We start from the raw sequence: 20726 nt of genomic DNA, 5'->3' as shown, positions 1-20726 counted from the left end.
GTCCTTTGTCCATATTTTAATTGGGTTATTTGCTTTTTGTGTTGAGTTTTAGAAATTCTTTATATGCTCTGGATATTAATCCTTTATCAGAAGCATGGTCTGCAAATGTTTTCTCATATTTCATGGGCTACCTTTTCACTCTCTTGTTAGTATCTTTTGACGCATAAAAGTTTTTATCTTGATGAAGTTCAAATTATCTGTTTTTTCTTTTGCTGCCTATGCTTTTGGTCCATTAACTGTTGAGCTCACATCTCAATCCTAATTTTAATTCTTAACCTTAACTGCTACTGCCTGGGGTTAATCTAGGTTTTCTGGGGCCTGAAACATACACAATTTGGGAAGGCCTAAAAAATACAAAGAATGTTATTTTTGTAAATTTTACTTAATTTTATAACCATGTATCGTGTGCTAGGAGCCTCCCCTCCTTGGAAAAAATCAGGCAAACTTGACAGCTCTCTGTTCCTCAGCCTCAATGTCCTGTCTGTTTTACCTTATGGATATTTCACATCCATCCTTTTTTGTTCCTACTCTCACTGCCTTATTTTAGGTCAGTGGTTCATCATCTCTCACCAGAATAAGTGCAATAGCCTGCTAACTAGTCTCCTTGTTTATAGAGTTGTCCCATAATCGATTTTCCACAGTCAAAAAATGATGTAACTAAAATGAAAATACGATTATTTCATGTTCCTGCTTAAAGCCCTCCAATGGCTCGTGATTGTCTTCGGGACAGAGACCCAATCCTCTTGTCAAGGCATGTAAGTCCCCTTCCATAAGTAATCTTGATACCTGTTCCACCTCACATTCTGACATCCCTCTCAAACTGTGCTCTAGCCATATTACACTACTTGCTTTTCCCTAAATAGGTCATGCTCTCATCTAATCTCCATGGCTTTGCCCTTACCGTCCTTAGAGCTTGTAATCTACCTTCCTACCCATTTTACCTGAAAAACTCAGCCTTCAGGGTCCATTCAAGCACTATGTTTGTATGTGTGAAGCTTTCTCTGACACCCCAAGTCTAGGTTAAGCGACTCTTTTGGAGTTCCTTTCACACTCACCCACTTTGTAGCATCTAATTCTTCATTTGTCTGTCTTCACTAGACTTTTAACTTCCTCAGGATAGAGACTACTGCCCTGAAGAGACTACTTTTTAGTCATCACTGCAGCCTCAGTACCTGGAACACAATAGGCAGTCAACAAATATTTCTGCATAAACAATCTCATGAAAGAAACAGGCACTAAGTATAGATTTCTTGCCTAACTAGTTTCTCTCATTTTCTCTCTTTCACATGCTAACTTTGCTAGATTTTTTTAAAAGTGAGGTTTGGGTGATGGGATTATGGGTGTGATATGGTTTGGATCTGTGTCTCTACCAAATCTCATGTGGAATTGTAATGTCCTGTTGGAGGTGCAGCCTGGTAGGAGGTGATTGGATCATGAGGGCAAAGTTCTCATGAATGGGTTAGCACCATCCCCTTGGTGCTGTTCTCATGATAATGAATGGGTGACTTATTATGAGATCTGGCTGTTTAAAAGTGTGTAGCACCTCCCCCCACTCTCTCTTTCTCCTGCTCTGGCCATGTAAGACGTGTTTGCTTCCCCTTCACCCTCCTCCATGATTGCAAGTTTCCTGAGGCCTCCCTAGAAGCAAAAGCTTCTATGCGTCCTCTGCATCCTGCAGAACTGTGAGCCGATTAAACCTTTTTTCTTTATAAATTACCCAGTCTCAAATATTTCTGCATAGTAAGAATAGACTAATGCAGAAAATTGGTACCAAAGAGTGGGGCGTTGCTGTAAATATACCTGAAAATGTGGAAGTGACTTTGGAACTAGGTAACTGTCAGAGATTGGAAGAGTGTGAAGTGCTCAGAAGAAGACAGGAAAATGAAGGAAAGTTTGGAACTTCCTAGAAACTGGTTAAATTTTTGTGACCAAAATGTTGTTAGTGATATGGACAATGAAGTCCAGGCTGAGAAGGTCTCAGAAGGCGATGAGGAATTATTGGAAACTGGAGCAAATGTCACTTTTGTTATGCCTTAGCAAATAATTTGGTTGGATTGTGCCCCTGCCCTAGGGATCTGTGGAACTTTGAACTTGAGAGTGATGATTTAGGGTATCTCGCAGAAGAAATTTCTAAACAGCAAAGCGTTCAAGATGTGCCCTGGCTGCTTCTCAATGTATGCTCATATGTGTGAGAAAAAAAATTATCTGAAACTGGAACTTACATTTAAAAGGGAAACAGAGCATAAAACTTTGGAAAATTTGCAGCCTGGTCATGTGGTAGAAAGGAAAAGCCTATTTTCAGCAAAGGAATTCAAGCAGGCCACAGAAATGTGCATAATGAAAAGAAAAGCAAATGCTGATAGCCAAGACAATGGGCAGAAGGCCTCCAAGCCATTGAAGGTAACCTCTCCCATCACAGGCCTGGAGCCCCAGGAGGGAAAAATGGTTTCATGAGCCACACCCAGGACCCTGCTGCCCTGTGCAGCCTCAGGACCCTGCTCCCTGCTCTGTCTCCAGTTTTGGCTCAAAGGGCTCCAGACACAGCTTGGGCTGTTGCTTCAGAGGGTGCAAGCCATAAACCTTGGTGGTATGAAGCCTGCGGATGTGCAGAGTGCAAGAGTTGAGGTTTGGGAGCCACTGCCTAGATTTCAGAGGGTGTATGGAAAAACCTGTATGTGTAAGCAGAAGCCTGCTGCAGAGGCAGAGCCCTCATGGAGAACCTCTACTAGGGCAGTGCCAAGGAGAAATTCGGGGTTGGAAACCCCACACAGAGTCCTCACTGGGACATTGCCTAGTGGAGCTGTGAGAAGAGGGCTGCCATCCTCCAGCCCTTAGAATGTTAGAGCCACTGGCAGCTTGCACCCTGTGCCTGGAAATGCCACAGGCACTTGATGCCAGCCCATGAGAGCAACTGTGGGGCCTGAACCCTGGAAGGCCACAGGGGTGGAACTGCCCAAGGCCTTGGGAGCCCACCTCTTGCATCAGTGTGCCCTGGATGTAAGACATGGAGTCAAAAGAGATTATTTGGGAGCTTTAAGATTTAATGACTGCCTTGCTGGGTTTCAAACTCAAAAGAAACTGGGTTTCTTTTGGCCAATGTCTCCCTTTTGGAATGACAATGTTTACCCAGTGCCTATAACCCTGATATGGTTTGGCTCTGGGTCCCCACTCAAATCTCATCTTGAATTGTAATCCCTATGTGTTGAGGGAGAGACCTGCTGGGAGGTGATTGAATCATGGGGACAATTTCTCCCATGCTATTCTCATGATAGCGAGTGAGTTCTCATGAGATCTGATGGTTTAAAGTGGGACCTCCCCCTTTGCTTTCTCTCTCTCTTTCTCTCTCTCTCTCTCCTGCCACAATGTAAGATGTGCCTTGCTTCCCCTTTGCCTTCCACCATGATTGTAAGTTTCCTGAGGTCTCCCCAGAATGTGGAACTGTGAGTCAATTAAACCTCTTTCCTTTATAAATACCCAGTCTCAGGTATTCTTTATAGCAGTGTGAAAACAGACTAATACAAAAAATTGGTACTGGGATAGTGGGGTATTGCTGTAAAGATACCTAAAAATGTGGAAGCAACTTTGGAACTGGGTAACAGGCAGAACTGGAACAGTTTGGAGGGCTCAGAGGAAGATAAGAAGATGTGGGAAAGTTTGGAACTTCCTAGAGACTTGTTGAATGAATTTGACCAAAATGCTGATAGTGATATAGACAATGAAGTCCAGGCTGAGGTGGTTTCAGATGAAGATGAGGAACTTATTGGGAACTGGAGTAAAGGTCGCTCTTGCTATGGTTTAGCAAAGAAACTGGCAGCATTTTGCCCCTGCCCTAGAGATCTGTGGAACTTTGAACTTAGATGATTTAGGGTATCTGGCAGAAGAAATTTCCAAGCAGCAAAGCATTCAAGAGGTGACCTGGCTTTTTCTGAAAGCATACAGTCATATGCATTCACAAAAAGATTATCTGAAACTGGAACTTCTATTTAAAAGGGAAGCAGAGCATAAAAGTTTAGAAAATTTGCAGCCTGATCCTGTGGTAGAAAAGAAAAACTTACTTTCTGGGGAGAAATTCAGGCCAGTTGCAGAAACTTGCATAAGTAACAAGAAGAGGAATATCAGTTGCCAAGACAATGGGGAAAATATCTACAGAGCATTTCAGAGATCTTCCTGGTGGCCCCTCCCATCACAGGCCCAGAGGCCTAGGAGGAAAAAATGGTTTCGTGGGCTGGGCCCAAGGCCTTGCCACTTTGTACGGTCTTGGGACTTGGTGCCTTTTATCCCAGCCGTGGCTAAAAGGGACCAACGTACAGCTCAGGCTGTTGCTTCAGAGGGTGTAATCCCCAAACCTTGGTGGCTTACACATGGTGTTGGGCCTGCAGGTGCACAGAAGTTAAGAATTGACGTTTGAGAACCTCTGCCTAGATTTCAGAGGATGTATAGAAACATCTGGATGTGCAGGCAGAAATTTGCTGCAGGGGTTGAGTCCTCATGGAGAACCTCTGCTAGGTCAGTGCAGAAGGGAAATGTGGGGTCAAAGCCCCTACACAGAGTCCCCACTGGGGTACTGCCTAGTGGTGCTGTGAGAAGAGGGCCACCATCCTACAGATCCCATAATATTAGGTCTACTGACAGCCTGCACCATGTTCTGGAAAAGCCACAGGCGCTCAACACTGGCCCATGAAAGCAGCCATGGGGGCTGCATCCTGCAGAGCCACAGAAGCAGAGCTGCCCAAGGCCTTGGGAGCCCACTTCTTGCATCAGCATGTCCTGGATGTGAGACATGGAGTCAAAAGAGATTATTTTGGAGTCCTAAGATTTAATGAGTGCCTTGTCAGTTTTCACACTTGCATGGGGCCTGTGGCCCCTTTGTTTTGGCCAATTTCTCCCAGTTGGAATGGGAACATTTACCCAATGCCTGAACCCCCATTGTATCTTGGAAGTAACTAACTTGCTTTTGATTTTATAGGCTCATAGGTGGAAGGGACTTCCCTTGTCTCAGATGAGACTTTGGGCTTGGACTTTTGGGTTAATGCTGGAATGAGTTATGACTTTGGGAGACTGTTGGGAAGGCATGACTGTGTTTTGAAATGTTAGAAGGATATGAGATTTGGGAGGGAACAGGGGTGGAATGATATGATTTGGCTCTGTGTCTCCACTCAAATCTCATATTGAATTGAAATCCCCATGTGTTAGGGGAGGGACCTGCTGGGAGGTGACTGTGATACAGAAGGAAAGTGCTGGGAAGGGAAGGGCATAGTCCCTTCAAATAATACAGAACGGGGGAAGGGTGTGGTCCTTGGCTAGGGCTACACCCCCAGGCCTATGCCCATGGACCTAGGTGAGCACAGGCATTTTTGTTTTCCTGCCCAAATGTTGCATTTCCCAAGACTACCCTGGCCTGCCACCCCCACCATCCTGTGCCTATAAAAACCTGGGGACCCTAGCAGGCAGACACAGGTGGCCGGATGTCAAGAGGAGCACATCAGTGGAGGAACACACAGGCAGCTGGATGTTGAGAGGAGCACATCAGCAGAGTAACACACAGGTGGCTGGATGCCAAGAGGAGCACATCAGTGGAGGGTCACACAGGCAGCTGGACGTTGAGAGCAATGCACTGATAGGCACCAGCATGCCAGCAGGCCGTCGACTGGCAGAACAACAAGGAGTTTGACTGGGGCAGTTGGAGAAGAGCCTGGGCTGTCGAGTGGCCCAACTCCAGGGGAAAACCATCTCCCTTCTGGCTACCCCATCTGCTGAGATCTACTTCCCCTCAATAAAACCTTGCACTCATTCTCCAAGCCCACGTGTGATCCAATTCTTCCAGTACACCAAGGCAAGAACCCCAGGATATAGAAAGCCCTCTGTCCTTGTGATAAGGCAGGGGTCTAATTGAACTGGCTAACACAAGCCACCTACAGACAGCTAAGCTAAAAGAGCACCCTGTAACACATGCCCACTGTGGCTTCGGCTATAAACATTCACCCCTAGACACTGCTTTGGGGTCTGAGCCTCACAGCTTGCCCATCTCTGTGCTCCCCTAGAGGTTTGAGCAGCGGGGCACTAAAGAAGTGAGTCACACTCCCATTGCACGCCCTGCGAAGGGGACAAGGGAACTTTTCCTGTTTCAATTGGATCATGGGGGTGGCTTCCCCCATGCTGTTCTTGTCATGGTGAGTGAGCTGTCACAAGATCTGATAGTTTTATAAGTGTTTGGTAGTTCCTGTCTCTCTTTCTCTCTTTCTCACCTGATACCATGTAGGATGTGTCTTGCTTCTCCTTCACCTTCCTCCATGTTGTAAGTTTTCTGAGGGGCAAAGTTCTCATGAATGGGTTAGCACCATTCACTTGGTGGTGTTCTCATGACAGTGAGTTACCATGAGATCTGGTTGTTTAAAAGCGTGTAGCACCTCCCCGCTCTCTTTCCCCCTCCTGCTCCAGCCATGTAAATTTTGCCTGCCTCCCCTTCACCTTCTGCCATGATTGTAAGTTTCCCGAGGCCTCTCCAGAAGCAGAAGCTTCTATGATTCCTGTACGGCCTTCAGAACTGTGAGCCAATTCAACCTCTTTTCTTTATGAAGACTCAGGTTTTTTTTTATAGCAATGTGAGAACAGACTAATACAGGGTGTCTTACCAACCGAGCATCCCAAATCTGAAAACTCAAAATCTAAAATGCTCCAAAACCAGAAATGTTGAGTGCCAACACAACACTCAGAGGAACTGCTCATTGGAACATTTTGGATTTCAGATTTTTGGATTTGGGAAGCTCAACCAGTAAGTATAATGCAAATATTCCAAAATCCTAAAAAGTCTGAAACCCAGAACAGTTTGGGTCCCAAGCATTTTGGATAAAGGATACTCGACCTGTATATTATGTTTCTATTCATTATTTATAATTAAATATAACTTTAATTGTGTCTTGTTTTATCCCATTGTCGTGGGGAAAAATATTAAATTCATGAAGTGACAGTGGATGTCTTTTGAGCATAGTATTTAAGAAAAGGGTCCTTTTGGGCTATGCTACATAGTGATGATGGAAACTCATGTGATGGAGTTCAGAGTGAATTACCAGTGGACCAGGGTCCTAACTTCTCATTACCAAGTCCGAGCTGGAAGCAGCTGGTAACACCATCTCTTTTCAGTGGAAGCACTTGAGGAGTGAACAGGTTGGGTGACTCAACTAATGCTACACATTCATTTCCTTATTTCCAGTCTTATTCTCTTTCCACTTTATCATAGTGACAAAAACAAAAATATCTTTGTCCTAGCAAGACTTGGCTATACAAATTTAGTGAAACAGAGAGTCTTTTGAGCATACATTTCTGCTTAGAACGTAAAGAACATGAGTTCTAAAATGACTGTGAATCTTCCATGCCTAGAATTTGATGAAATAGCACTAGTTTCTAATTCTCTTTAATTTTATTTGATCATTAGTGCTTAAGGAGCAACATTTGTAGGATATTTGTTTCTGGCCATATGCTCCATTCAGAACCTCGGAACTAGACAACATTTTTCCTGGAAGGTCTATTTAAGGGGGACTGAGTACCTAGCATCTGGGAAAAGAGCCAATTTCAAGTTTCCTTTCAGGAATTCCAACAGATCTTAAAGTATTTCAGGGTCCGATTAAACCTTCACCTTGTTTAGATGTTGTCACATCCAGACAATCTTTGTTAAATTCGGCTCTCTAGTTTGTTAATATTCTCAGATTTATATTTTGGCTACTTGCATGCTAAAAAGAAATCACATGGAGTTGGGGAATTTGGTTCTGCAAAACTGCGTGGAGATACGATTTTTAAAAAAACAGGTACAATTCTACGTTTTTAAAGTATTATCCATGCCCTAAAATGACTCACATGCTTCAATGCAGGATACAAAAACTTTTTTAAAAAATCATTTGACTTGCAGGGGTAGAGATGTTAAGAGAAAATCAGTAGGGAATAACACATTTATGAAGGCGAAAATGCACAAGTTATGACACATTTTGGCCCAGCTCCAAATCCTTAAAGCACTGATGTCTTGTTCCATCTTCTGTTTTTTTTACCATTACTTTCACTCCGATCCTATTCTTACTTATTTCCAGCCAAGTAGTTTCATATCTATTTGTCTTGGGCTCCACCGCGGGAAAGTAGCTATGCGGTGCTCCACCAGCTGACTGAAAAGGAGCGTTCCCTCCACACATACACTCAGCACTGAACTGGGGGCAGTGGCCGGGCACTCGGGGTGGGAGGGGGCGGCTAAGACAGTGTCACGGTCACTTGTGTGCCATTGGAAGGAAGGTCAGGGCAGGGAATCCTCGCTACTTCACTACTCATGTCTCTGGATTGGGCTTGCCTCTCTTCTTGGGGAAGAGCCACTTCTTGGGGCCCTGCACACACGAGGACGCATGTGGAAAGGGTCTGTAAATCGACACCCGTTCTGCTAACCGAAGGTGATTACAGCACCGTCTTCTTGGGGATACTTTTTTTTTTTACGTCAGGCCTCACGCTCGCTGCACGGGGATCGCCGCCAGGGCTGGGCTGCTGGATCCCCGCCACACGGGGGAAGCACTGGCGGCACGATCCCGGATCGACCTCGCGAGGCGCCCGCACTGGCCGCGGGGCTGCGGGACTGGCGGCGGCGGCGGCGGCTGCGCGGGGCTGGGCGGGGCTTGGCTGCGGGGAAATGACGTCGCCGTCCCCGCGCGCGCCCTGGTAACGGCGGCTCCCGCGTCCTCCTCCATGTCCCCGCCTATCCCCGCCGCAGCCCGCCCCGTCTCCTCCTCCCTCCGCAGCCTCGCCGAGTCCTCGGTGCGGGCTGCGAGCGGGACCCGCGGAGCTGCGCTGTCCTCGACGCCTCCGCCAGGCGCGGGCCGAGGAGCCTCCAAGAGCTGGCCCGGCCCCCGGCCGCCGCCGCCCAACCCCGGGCATCTGCCCCGCGCCGTTGTCCCCGCGGCTTCGGGCCGGCGGGACCGCCCCGTCCCTTCCAGGGGTGACCCGGGGGTCGCGGGTGGGACGGCGCCTGCGGCCGAGTCTGGGGGGCGCCGGGTGTCGGGTCGGGAAGCGGCCGCCGCGACTCTTGCCTCCCGGGCGTCGTTGCTCCACGGGCCTGCCTCCACCCGCGGGGACAGGTGCCCCGGCTGGGGTCTGTTGGGAAGATGGCGACCCCGGGCATGAGCTGGCAGCAGCACTATTACGGCGGCTCGGCGGCCAAATTCGCGCCCTCGCCGGCCACCGCACAGCTGGCTGGGCACAGCATGGACTACAGCCAGGAGATGCACCTGAAAATGAGCAAGAAAATCGCCCAGCTCACCAAGGTAAGGGGGGCAGCGACGGGGCAGGTGGCGACCCCGTGCGGGCCGCGCCGGACTCACCTGTCTCCCCGGGAGGCAGTGCGCCCTGCGCCCGCAGCGAGGGGAACTCTACTCCTCCGCCGAAGCAACAGCCGGAGACACCTCCAAAACCCTGCAAACTTTGGTGGAACGCTGGCAACATGAATTTAAGCTAGACAGCACAGCGGCACGGTGCGCGTAAGGGACTTGCACCTCCTTGCCCTTTGGGGCTAAACCAGCACAGAACAAATTAGGATTTAGTTCCTTTATTTCACAATACTAAATCACTTTACTGTTGCTTCCATGCATCTGCCAGGGCTCCACGAGGCATCACACTACAGTACCATTTGAAGTACAGTACCGTATTTACCTAATATGACTCGGAATTAAACAGTATCTTACTGGTTACTCAGTTAAGGGAAGAATCAACTTTCAGAGGAATGTAGGAGGGTAAAACATACCTTGAGTGCCAATTTGGGGCATTTAATGAGTCATTCCTTATCCTGACAAAATGTCAAACAAGGCTTATTAGATGAATCTCACACTGTGCCTGCATCTAGTTCAATGTTTGTCTGTCGAAGGATAATTTTCAAAGAGCAGTTAGCTTTCACATTCGGCCACGTGTAGTTTAGGACTGTACCTAAATTAGTGAACTTTTTTTCTAATTTAATGTTGATAATGAGAAGGAATTGGTATCTGTGAAGCAAGAGCAATTCATATCTGTTATATTGCTCTGCTTAGAACTCACCAGCAATCTAGCAATACCTATCGGTAAGAAGTGATTTGTGGTGTCTGAAAGTTAAGAAAGATGATATACCTTAATGTGTTTAAGCTGTCTCCTAACAGCTTGTTAGGAGAGTTGGTATGCTGAAGAGAGATGGGCATCGTGGGGGTTACTGCTAGATAGCCTCTGAGTCTGACTCAACTGTAAAGTTCTCACATAATCCCATTGCTGGTTGGCACTTTTGAGAGAGTGAAGTAAGACATGAGATTCGGAAGAGAGGAAAGGAGGAAATAGGAGTGAAAAAAGGTTGAAAAGAGAATAAAAAGATTTTAGTGAAGAAATGTGATTGAGGATAGAAAAGATAACATAAAAGGACTACAAAATGAGAGCACAAATGGAAGAGCAAAAGAAAAGTTACAGGTACATAACAGTAAAACTCAACCAACGTCTTGTGAAGTTTTCTTTTTTGTCTTTTGTTTGATCTCAGCACTGTCTCAGAAATTGTTAGGTGTGCGGTGTTTTGTTTCCTTTTTTGTCAGAGTATTGCATTCAGAGAAAGGAAAATCTAAGAAGGAATGATAGTAGTGTATCATCAGAACATTTACACATTTGGAGTCTAAAAGCCAGGCTTCCTGCAGTAGTGTTTGATCTTCCGAATATTGATGTCCTGAATGAAGCACGTGAATATTTATTCTGATTTTCTCTTATGATGTGTCCATAACATCCACTGTTCTCATTTTAGATGTAACCCTCTAGAGCCCTACTGTAAGTAATAGGAAAACTCAGTAAACTGGTAGTGGGACTGTGTTCTGTTTAACAAATGCTGTTGCTCTTCAGTACATTTTTTTTCTTTCTACTTAACACTTTTTCAGTTTCCTGTTCTTTTATCAGAAAAAAATAAGTCAGCACCACTGGTAAACGTAGGTGTATTGATCGGAAGCTGGTGTTTTCTCCCATGACATTACCCACCTCATATCTAATGAGACAAGAGGGTGCTCTCAGGCCAGTGCTCTCAACACCGCTTGAATGCCTCATCTGATCTTTACTGAGTGTTACGTGGACTCTCTGGTTTTGTGTTTGTAGTTACAGTCTCTAAACACTCTCCACCCCCTCTGCTAAGTACTTAAGATATTTAATCCTTCATACTAGGTTTCTCAGTGTCACGCTATTGACATTTTGGACTGGATAATTCCTTGTTGATTGTGGGATATCCTGTGCATTATAGGATGTTTGGCAGCATCCCTGGCACTACTCAGTGGGTACTACTAGTAGCTGCCCTCACCCCCCACCCCCAGTCATGACAATAAACATGCCTCCAGGTATTACCAAAATTTCCCAGGAGCGGGCAGGGTAGTTGAAACAGAATCATTCCAATTAAGAACCATTGACATATACTGAAATATCAAGGGATTATCCTGCTTTTATTTACTAAGATGAGGCCTGAGAATGAAACAGTTTGATAATAGGACTCTGTTGGAGCCAACATCTTTCTGTTTCTACAAACATATAAGACTTGCTTTCTTTATACACCATTTTGAAAGTTGTCAAATTTTATAGTCATATACACTTATTGTAAATACTATACCATAAGCATGACATCATGAGTGTATATAAACATAGAGAGAGAGGGACTGTTATGAACTTTACTACTGCCTGCCATATAGAATTTTTACTCATGAAGAGTTTATTCATATTAGCAGAGGTGTGTTCCAACTATGGTTGGAACTTGACAATGGCTAATATTTCATAATTGTACACTGTAAATGTAACAATTAAAATTGGATTTTATTTCTTTTGGAAAGAAGTCAGTAGAACTCAACTCTTCAGCATTATAGCAGCAGCACACTTAAGAGCAGTGTGGGAACCTGACACACTGAGTTAAAATTCTCACTCCACCACTTACTACTATTGTGACCTTGAGCAAGCCATGAAACACTGAGCCTCAGTTTCCTCATCTTTAAAATAGGGATGATAGTACCTATTTTACAGAGTTGTAGCGGCACATAGTAGGCTCTTCATTCAGGCTGTCACTCACTGAAAAGACATATACCAATATGAGTATTAATAAAATATGGATATTTTAAAAATGCTTCTCTCCTTTTAAACCATTCTGCATTTAACAGCGTTGTGTGATAGTGTACTTATTTTGAGGGTTTTCTGCTAAACTCTTTAAAAATGTATATATAGTAGTTTTTTTTCTCCTTCGAATATCAAAGTTTAAAGGTTTCACATTTATTCTGCATTGTGGTAGAATGTTCTGAAAATACATTGTGCATGTTTCAAAGGTTTGGCTGGCTATGAAAGGATAAGCATGAAAAGTAATAAAGATTATAATTTTGCCCATAGCAAAGCTCAATATATTTTTAATTAAAAAGCAGTCTTTGCTGTATGCATATTTGTTCATATCCTATTTCCTAAGAGCCTAACATAGCTGCCTTCTCATGGTAAGGAGAACACCAGTTCTTTAAGCACCTTTTATGTAAGGGAGACTTTGGAAAATGTTACAGATACAGCAGGGAGCAAGACACAGTCCCTGCCTTTTAAAGGAAGTCTAGCATATTTGGGTCACTCGTGTCAAGTTTTAAGAATTAATATTAGATTCTTGAGCTACATTATGGCAAGTTTCTGCAAATGTTAATGGCTGAACTATCTCAAGATAGGCAGTGAAGCTGGATGGATTCAATTATGTTTTATAAGACCACATTTGTATACTTCTGTGCTCTCCACTGTGTTGACTTTTCAGGATATCAGGTTGAAAAGCAGGCCTTGTGGGATGTAATTATAAAAGCTTTTTTTTTGTCACTTTCAAATTACTTTTTTTCCCTTTTTGTCTCTTTCAATTTACTCTTTGAGACTGGTTCATCCTCTTTCATGGGTTAACTTAATTTTTCTGGTTGCTTTTAGATAATACAAATCATCCTTCAGTAACAAAGTCACAAAAGTCTCAATTTGATTATTAAAATTAAAATGCCCAGTACCAACAAGTAAAAACTGCAGACCAAGCCTGAAATAAAGATGAAGCTTCTCCCTTAACTGGTCTCTTGCTCTGTCTCTTGCAAGGGGGAAACCAGTAACTAGGGAAGGGGGTATTATTGCCTTTTTACTTCTTACCTGGTTTTTCTACTCTTCCTGCTTTGTCTTGCCAGTTCTGGTTTCTCACCCTTCCAAAGTTGGTCAAGGAAGAAGTGAAAAGAGTAAAGAGGAGCAGCAAACTTTTACTTGATTAGTGAAGAAGCTAGCTGGTGATCTAGTTTCAGTGCTTTTGTAGCCGTTGCAGATGTTTAAAGCTTATTCTTTCACTGGTGAATCTTCTACCTCCCACCTCAGTGGCTCTAGATTTTCACCTCAATTCCTTGACAGTGAGAATTCCCTTATGCGCTGATTGGTTGCTTACTCCTTCCTCAGCCTCTTGGAGCTAGCAGTACCTTCACCTCCACTTTGCTGAGGTCTGTGCAAACTCTAGATACCCCTCTTGCATGGACTTGTGTGATCCCACCCCAGGTTGTTCACTCTTCCGTAGAGGCCACATAGGGAGCACTCATTCTTTGCACAAACTCTGCTAGTGGTCCCAGTTCAGCCCTCTCTCTTGTTCTCACATGCCTCTTCATGCAGCTTCTCATCATTTAGATTTTCTGGGGATTAATCAGGTACCAGGTTAGCATGTTCTTCAAAGTGCTTGAGGCACATGTCAAGTTCTTCAAGTCATTCCCTCAAAGCCTTTTTCCCTAGGCTTTAGGTGTGGGACAAGCATCTTCCACCCTTCCCCCTTGAAGACACAGGCCCCTGTTACCACAGCTCTCCCCAGGGAAATCTCTGAAACCTACTCTGTAATCTTCTTGAAGCACCACCTCACTAGTGGTGGGGGTGGAAAGTAACACATCTCAGCACTCTTCTTTAGACTGCCTCTTGACATTTTCGAGAATGTTCTGGCAGCTGCTTTGGAATGTCATTTCTATCGTCTCTGGTTCTCAGCAGAAACTTCCCTTTTAATACCTTGTTATGTTAGCTGCTTATCAAATCCCTCTTTAGTTGATTGCACTTTTGATACAGAGTCTGTTTATCACTTAACTAGTATAGACATAAGTAATATATGGTACAGTGTAAGTTCCCAAACAGCAGGAAGTAGTTTATTTTGTGTTTTCTGTGCTTAGCATCAAGTCCTCTTATTTAATACCCAGCTTATGGCTCTTCTACTAAAACTGTCCTGACCAGCTACCCTTGTTGGGCTTTCCTTGCTGTGCGTTAGCATTGATTGTTGGTACCTCTTACTTGATACTTAATAATGCAAACTTGCAAATACTGTTTATTGTGTTTATAAATATACTTTGTTTTCATAATTTGACTGTAAGGTTCTCAGCTCTAGGGACTGTATCTTTTATTACATGTAACCTTAATATGAATGGTTTGCACATAGTACCAAAGCTTAATAAGTATTTACTGAAGAAGATGGTGGTCATAATGATACAGCAAGTAATTTTGTTATACAGCAGAGAAAGACAGTACTTTTTAGGAATTGTATCTGCTACTCTTCTGGGTTAATGATAGATCATTTCAGCTGAGTTAAATTATTCCTAAATATGTAAATGTTTATTGACTGCCCTTTAAACTGCTTCAAAAAGCTATTTTATTTCTTAATGTATTTTTGATGTAAAAAATACAAATATAATGTTCTTTGTCTACATTATAAGTATTTGACACTTCAGAATGTAGGTAATTAATATACTAGTTTCTTAGCAAATATAAAAAAGCCTTGTGATCAGTCATTTTATACTAACTCTGCTTTTACTATATCCAAAACCAGAATGTGTTTATATAACACCAAAACCAGTGAATTTTTCAAATAATACTATTTTCTGTACATGAAATAAATGATTTTTCACTAATTGGTTTGTTTGAATTATCTAGATACTCTTTCATAATAATTCTATATTGCTTATGACTTGAGTCTTTGAACAAGAATGGTAAGTGGCCTCATAAAACATAGCAATTGGCTGTGTTTCACCTTAGCACTAGTACATGCCAAATGCAGCATCTCTTTTTCTTTGTTACATTGTAGCTTTGCCATGCTGTTATGCAGTGGCTTGGATGTAATCTTTTAGTCATAGTGGAGTGGTTTGGATTAATTTGTTGCATTTTACTAATGGACACAAAAGCATAGTATCCTGTTAATTAACTGGTCACAAACTTATAAAGGGACTTCCTTTAGAGTTAAAGATTTAGAGTTAAAGGTTAAAGGTTTAGGTTGGGTGCCCTGGCTCATGCCTACAGTCCCAGCACTTTGGGAGGCCAAGGCAGGCAGATCACTTGAGGCCATGAGTTCGAGACCAGCCTGGCCAACATGGTGAAATCCCGTCTTTACAAAAAATACAAAAAATTAGCTGGTGTGGTGGTGGGTGCTTGTAATCCCAGCTACTTGGGAGGCTGAGGCACAAGAATTGCTTGAACCCAGGAGGCGGAGGTTGCAGTTGAGATCATGCCACTGCACTCCAGCCTGAGTGACAGAGCAAGACTCTATCTCAAAAAAAAAAAAAAAAAAAAAAAGATTAAAGGTTTAGACTTTAGACTGTGACCAGGCTGACCCTCTCATTTTATAAGTATAGAAGGTGTGAGGGCTCGGTGCCATTTGAAGATTACTCAACCTGGACTCACATTCAGCTCTCTAGATTGGTCTAGGTGGGGGTGGCCACACTAACAGGCCTCTTTTCCCTGTGTCTACCTTCTTTCTAATATTACTTATTCAATAAGAGACCACAGAGTTATTGTTTTTCCATGTTGGAACCATGTTTTACTTACCATCTGAATCAAATTTTTGATAAGGGTGAAACCAACCTGTGTCTCCTCTGTATACTTACTGTGGAACTTTCTGGGTTTATAGGTTGTATATTTTGTATACTATGACTTGGTCACTTTGTAACAGAGGTTTATTGTGTGTGCTGTCAGCTAAATGTCATAATATTTTCATGTTTTTATTAACAGGTTTAGTCATTCCAAACTGAAACGTATTTAAAATAACATTAACTTAGAGACTGCCATACTTGGTGTGAAAATTACTACTGTGGTTATTTTAAATGTCTTTCTTTTGACTGCTTTCATTCTTGATTAGATTGTTGCTTAGACCCCATTCCTAAACACAGTAAATTGCAAGTTTTCCAGTTTTTATTGATTCACTATCTGTTTAGTTTATGAAAATCCTTTGCTAGCCTCTAATCACCAGTCTTAAAAAGTGTTATGAAAGATAAAGATTCAGCAGGAATATGTGACTGGAGTAATTTCTTCATTTTAATTAATAAGTTCCCTATACTTTAACTTTTAAAATTGTGATATTTTTGAAAATTTTGTATCTCTTAAATGTGAGATGGGAATGAAGAATAACCTGGGTCTATAAAGCTAATTAGTTTGTGGAAGAAAATAGGAGGTAATGGGGGCCAGGGGAGTATTGATAAAATACTGTTATTTTGCCCTTTCAATTGATCTTGTGAGTTTTTTTTTTTAAAGAAAATCTTCATAAGCATTCAAATAAATTTGAATATTATGCCATGAAATGGAAAGGATGTGAATGACGGGAGTTCGTAACGCCATTCTTTTTATTCACCACAGGAAGTTTCTATCCTGCAGCCCACTTCAGAATGTAAAGGACATTAAGTAAATGTCAGAATTGGTGCCCCATGTCCCTTTTTTGGAGATAGACACCTATGGGAGACAATCACTAACTGATTTCAGGATTAGATAAATAGATAAATAAAAACAGCAACATTGAGATCCCATCTCTACTTTTTAAAAAATAAAAATAAAGAAAAACAATGTTATAAATGGTAGTTTGATATGGGGGAATCATATCAAACTATTAGGTTTATATTTTATATGTCAAGTGTGGTCTAAACCATAGGGGGCTTTTTAGATTGACCTAGAGAGTTAATGGTCCTTCAAAATATTGGAAAATATTCTTTGGCTGCCAATCAATTAATATATAAAAATGAATTTTTGAAACAATGATATTTGCAAGTTGGAGATTGCCAGTTGTATTTTGGTATGCTTAACCTTTAAGACCAAGCAAAAATTTTAGAAAATCTCTGATTCTTAACTTTTAACTAAATTACATCAGTGAACAACTGTCATTTGTAACCTTATTTCACCAAGGATTACATCTTTCTTTTCTACCAAAACTTCAACGAGAATGTATAAAAAGTAGTGAAGTTGAATATATGAATTTTTTATCCTGTATCTTACACTATTATCTTGAGATGCAAATGGAAGCTGAAACTATCAAAGGATCTATAGTACATGGAAAAACAAGACTTAGTGATTAACAATCATATGTGGGATTTGGATATTTTAGACTTGGCTACCATGTGCTACCTCATTTAATTGTAAAGGAGATAGTACTTTGATTTTTTTAATTGCTAATTCTGTATTTCCTTATTTACATGTACCATCTCTATACCAAAGTTTGAGGAAGTTGGAAAGTAAAACATTTCATCTATAAAGTGCATTACTAATATTTAAATTATCAATAAAATTGATAATTTTAGTAAAATAACAGGGTAAATTCCTATTTATGCGAAATTATTAGAGAATGAATTATTTTAGTTAACTAGAAGTTTCCATAGGGGTTAATAAGTTTTCACTTTCTCATATAGTATACTTACATTTACATCATACCATTCATATATCACACTGGAGTTCTTCATCAACTCCAGATCATTGTTAGGATCATCAGTGCATATATAGGAAATTGGACCAAACTTATGCTAGTCCTATTAGGCCAAATCCATGAATGCTGATATTTAATTTCTGAATAAATTGTTACTTGCCCTTTTACTTGTCATGTCTTTTTTACTTATAAAATGAAGTGTCGCATTTGGATATTTACAAATTCTAGACATTGGCCTTGGTGGTTGAGCAGATTTTGTTTATTCTGGCGAATGTGTGTCTATGTGTTCACAGGTATTTGCATTTTTCATCCTGTAGCTCCTTAAGCACAGTTTTAAAGATTCTCATTTCTTTCAGAAAACATTTTATGACCAAAATACTAAATAGTATTCTTTGCCTACCTTTAGATGTTTCGCCTAGTGAATTTTGGGAGGAAGGTGTGTGTGTGTGTGTGTTTAATGGTCTACTCAGAGTAATAAAATATACTTAGATATGACCGAAGTAGAATATATAGGTCTATGTGTTTGGTAAACTTGTCGAATGCCTACTTTATGAAAGACATTGTGCTTGGTACTATTAATTATTTAATACTATTTATTATTCCATTTCAGACTATATATTTAGGTTGGCGCAAAAGTAATTGTGGTTTTGGCCTTTATTTTCAATGGCAAGAACCTCAGTTGCTTTTGTGCCAACCTAATACTTCACATATATTTTCCAACAGACTTGAGAAAATGTAACTGGAATATATTAATCATATATTTTAATTACAACATATTTATCAGTACATTAATTCTGACAAATTTTAGATGTGTAATCATGGGCAAATTTTTCTATTTGGTTTCGTTCTTTTTGGGTAGAACTTATGTACGTGCTTTTCTTGGATAAAGAAACTATACTGATACCTTCTAAATTCTCTAATAAGGTTTTGATGACTCAGTTGACATATTCTGGTTACAAATCTCTAATATATTTGGCTGGGGGGTAGAGCGGGTAAAAGGAAATTTCAGTCTTGGAAACCCCGGAGTTAATGTGTTTGTGTTAGGTTTAGGTTTCTCATGGGCAGCCGGAGAGCCACATTGTTCCCAGAGCCAAACGGCCCAGTGAGGCAGCAGTGCCCATCATATGGGTCAGAGGTGTGGTTCAGTAAGTTAGGCATTCCCTTATTTGAAGTTCACCTTCACCACTTCCTAGTGTTTGACTTTTAATACATATTTTAACCACTCAGGGCTGTCTTGTCCTCATCTGTAAAATGAGAATGACAAAGCGTACTTCATAGAATTATTATAAAGATTAAAGGAGATAATTGATGCAGGAGAGAGAAGTCAGTTTGTACCCACTATCCCCTCCCCACTTGGTTAAGCCTCTGCTGACATACTCTTTAACAATAAAGTAGGTTTTTAGGCCAGGCGCAGTGGCTCACACCTGTAATCCCAGCACTTTGGGAGGCCGAGGTGGGTGGATCACACTTGAAGTCAGGAGTTCGAGACCAGCCTGGCCAACATGGTGAAACCCTGTCTCTACTAAAAATACAAAAATTAGCCGAGTGTGGTGGTGCATGCCTGTAATCCCAGCTACTCGGGAGGCTGAGGCAGGAGAATTGCTTGAACCCAGGAGGCGGAGGTTGTGGTGAGCTGAGATTGCGCCACTGCACTCCAGCCTGGGTGCACAGTGAAACTCCATCTCAAAAAAAAAAAAAAAAAACCCACACACAAAAAAACAATAAAGTAGGTTTTTATATGTCTTTATTTTGTTTGTTTGTTTATTTATTTATTTTTTAGAGATAGAGTCTGGCTATGTTGCCCAGGCTGGAGTGCAGGGGTGCCATCATAGCTTGCTGCAACCTTACACTCCTGGGGTCAAGTGATCCTTCCACCTCAGTTTTCTGAGTAGCTGGGATTATAGGTGCAAGCCACTGTGCCCAGCTATATTTTCTTTTCTGATGGATATATAGTCTACATTGTTGGGGACCATAGCTGTCAAGTAAAGGTTGAGCAGCAAATAAAATATAGTCAGTTCTCATTATTCGTGGTCGTTGTATTGCATGGTCTAGGGAGAATACAGAGCTAGGTTCCTGACACCCTCTGGTCACAACATTTTCACCAACTGATCAATGTATAACCTTGTTTTATGTGTGTTTCTGTTTAAAACACCTTTTAAAATATATATTGATCCATTAACAGTGAAGCCACAGCCAAATATCACTATAACTCATGCCTGAACAAAGGTTATTTAGCACACCTTGAGTGTTAGATTTTGGGGTTACATGTAAATTTTAGCAAGTAAGATAATTTACAAATAGGGAGTCCATGAGTAAAGAAGATCAACTGTATCTAAAAATGGAAGCACAACTTTGCATCTGCTGTTTTCTTAGCTCCTGCTGTTTATCAGCTATTGTTAGGGGCCTAAGTGACTATGACTCTTATTACCACCCTAAACACCCTCACATGAGTGTGACTTTGACTCTCATTATCTCAGTAAACACCCTCAGATGAAAGGGGTGGAAAGGATAATGGAGGCTGAAATACTAATCTTTTGTGTGACTTGCCAGTCACCTACAGGCCACCCTACAATCATAAGCATGGGATAAATTCTTTCCTTGTATGTTAATTGTAATCTTCAAGATCTAAACTTGAATCTATCACATTGCCCTACATCAGAAAAAGGAAAAAAAATATGTAAATGATTCCAGGGCATGGAGCAAAACCTTTAAAAAATAATTTATTTTAGTTTAAATAAAATCTTTCATAGTCATCATTTGCCTAAAACATGTTTGCAGTTACTTCTTTTCTAGCATAAATTGTCACTGTGGGAGTTGGTTTTGTTAAAAGTCTTTGTCTATGTACCTAAAGATAACTTGAAATCTTATACAGTTCGAGGCTATAGCACATTTGGTTGGATGTTTCTGAATTAACCTTATGCAACATACAGAAAACTTCTGCAATTCAATTCATATCTGTCCACACTTTCTTGTTTCAACCCCCTAGTAATTATCAGAAAAAGGAACCCAGTTAAGAGTACTACTGTGATCATGAGGGAGTTGGCAA

The 20726-nt window shown here is 41.7% G+C and overlaps 1 protein-coding gene and 1 non-coding gene across 4 annotated transcripts in view, besides 2 other annotated features; both read left to right on the top strand.

Moving 5' to 3' along the window:
- The window catches only part of FAM184A (family with sequence similarity 184 member A), a 189366-nt gene that overhangs the window by 61698 nt on the left and 106942 nt on the right, over positions 1 to 20726 (top strand). The window contains exon 1 of one of the 3 annotated variants that reach the window (NM_024581.6): positions 8767 to 9290. The exons of the other annotated variants lie outside the window; for them this stretch is intronic. Within the exon in view, the coding sequence (NP_078857.5) occupies positions 9132 to 9290 (159 nt within the window). The 5' untranslated portion in view covers positions 8767 to 9131. Of the gene's footprint in view, positions 1 to 8766; positions 9291 to 20726 lie in introns of those variants that run through there. 3 annotated transcript variants of the gene reach the window in all.
- Positions 4261 to 4461: a silencer, noted in NCBI's record as "peak6067 fragment used in MPRA reporter construct". NCBI's record gives its function as "represses an SCP1 promoter by STARR-seq MPRAs in K562 erythroleukemia cells {active_cell/tissue: K562}" and the evidence as "EXISTENCE:reporter gene assay evidence [ECO:0000049][PMID:32103011]".
- Positions 8574 to 8893: a silencer, noted in NCBI's record as "silent region_17508". NCBI's record gives its function as "represses an Ori minimal core promoter by ATAC-STARR-seq in GM12878 lymphoblastoid cells {active_cell/tissue: GM12878}" and the evidence as "EXISTENCE:reporter gene assay evidence [ECO:0000049][PMID:35858748]".
- Positions 18288 to 18384, top strand: MIR548B (microRNA 548b). The gene has a single exon (NR_030315.1). It is a non-coding gene; the product is annotated as a microRNA 548b (primary transcript).

This window comes from Homo sapiens, chromosome 6, assembly GCF_000001405.40.
Source record: "Homo sapiens chromosome 6, GRCh38.p14 Primary Assembly".
Classification (NCBI taxonomy): Eukaryota; Metazoa; Chordata; class Mammalia; order Primates; family Hominidae; genus Homo; species Homo sapiens.
This window is presented reverse-complemented; position numbering and strand designations above follow the sequence as displayed.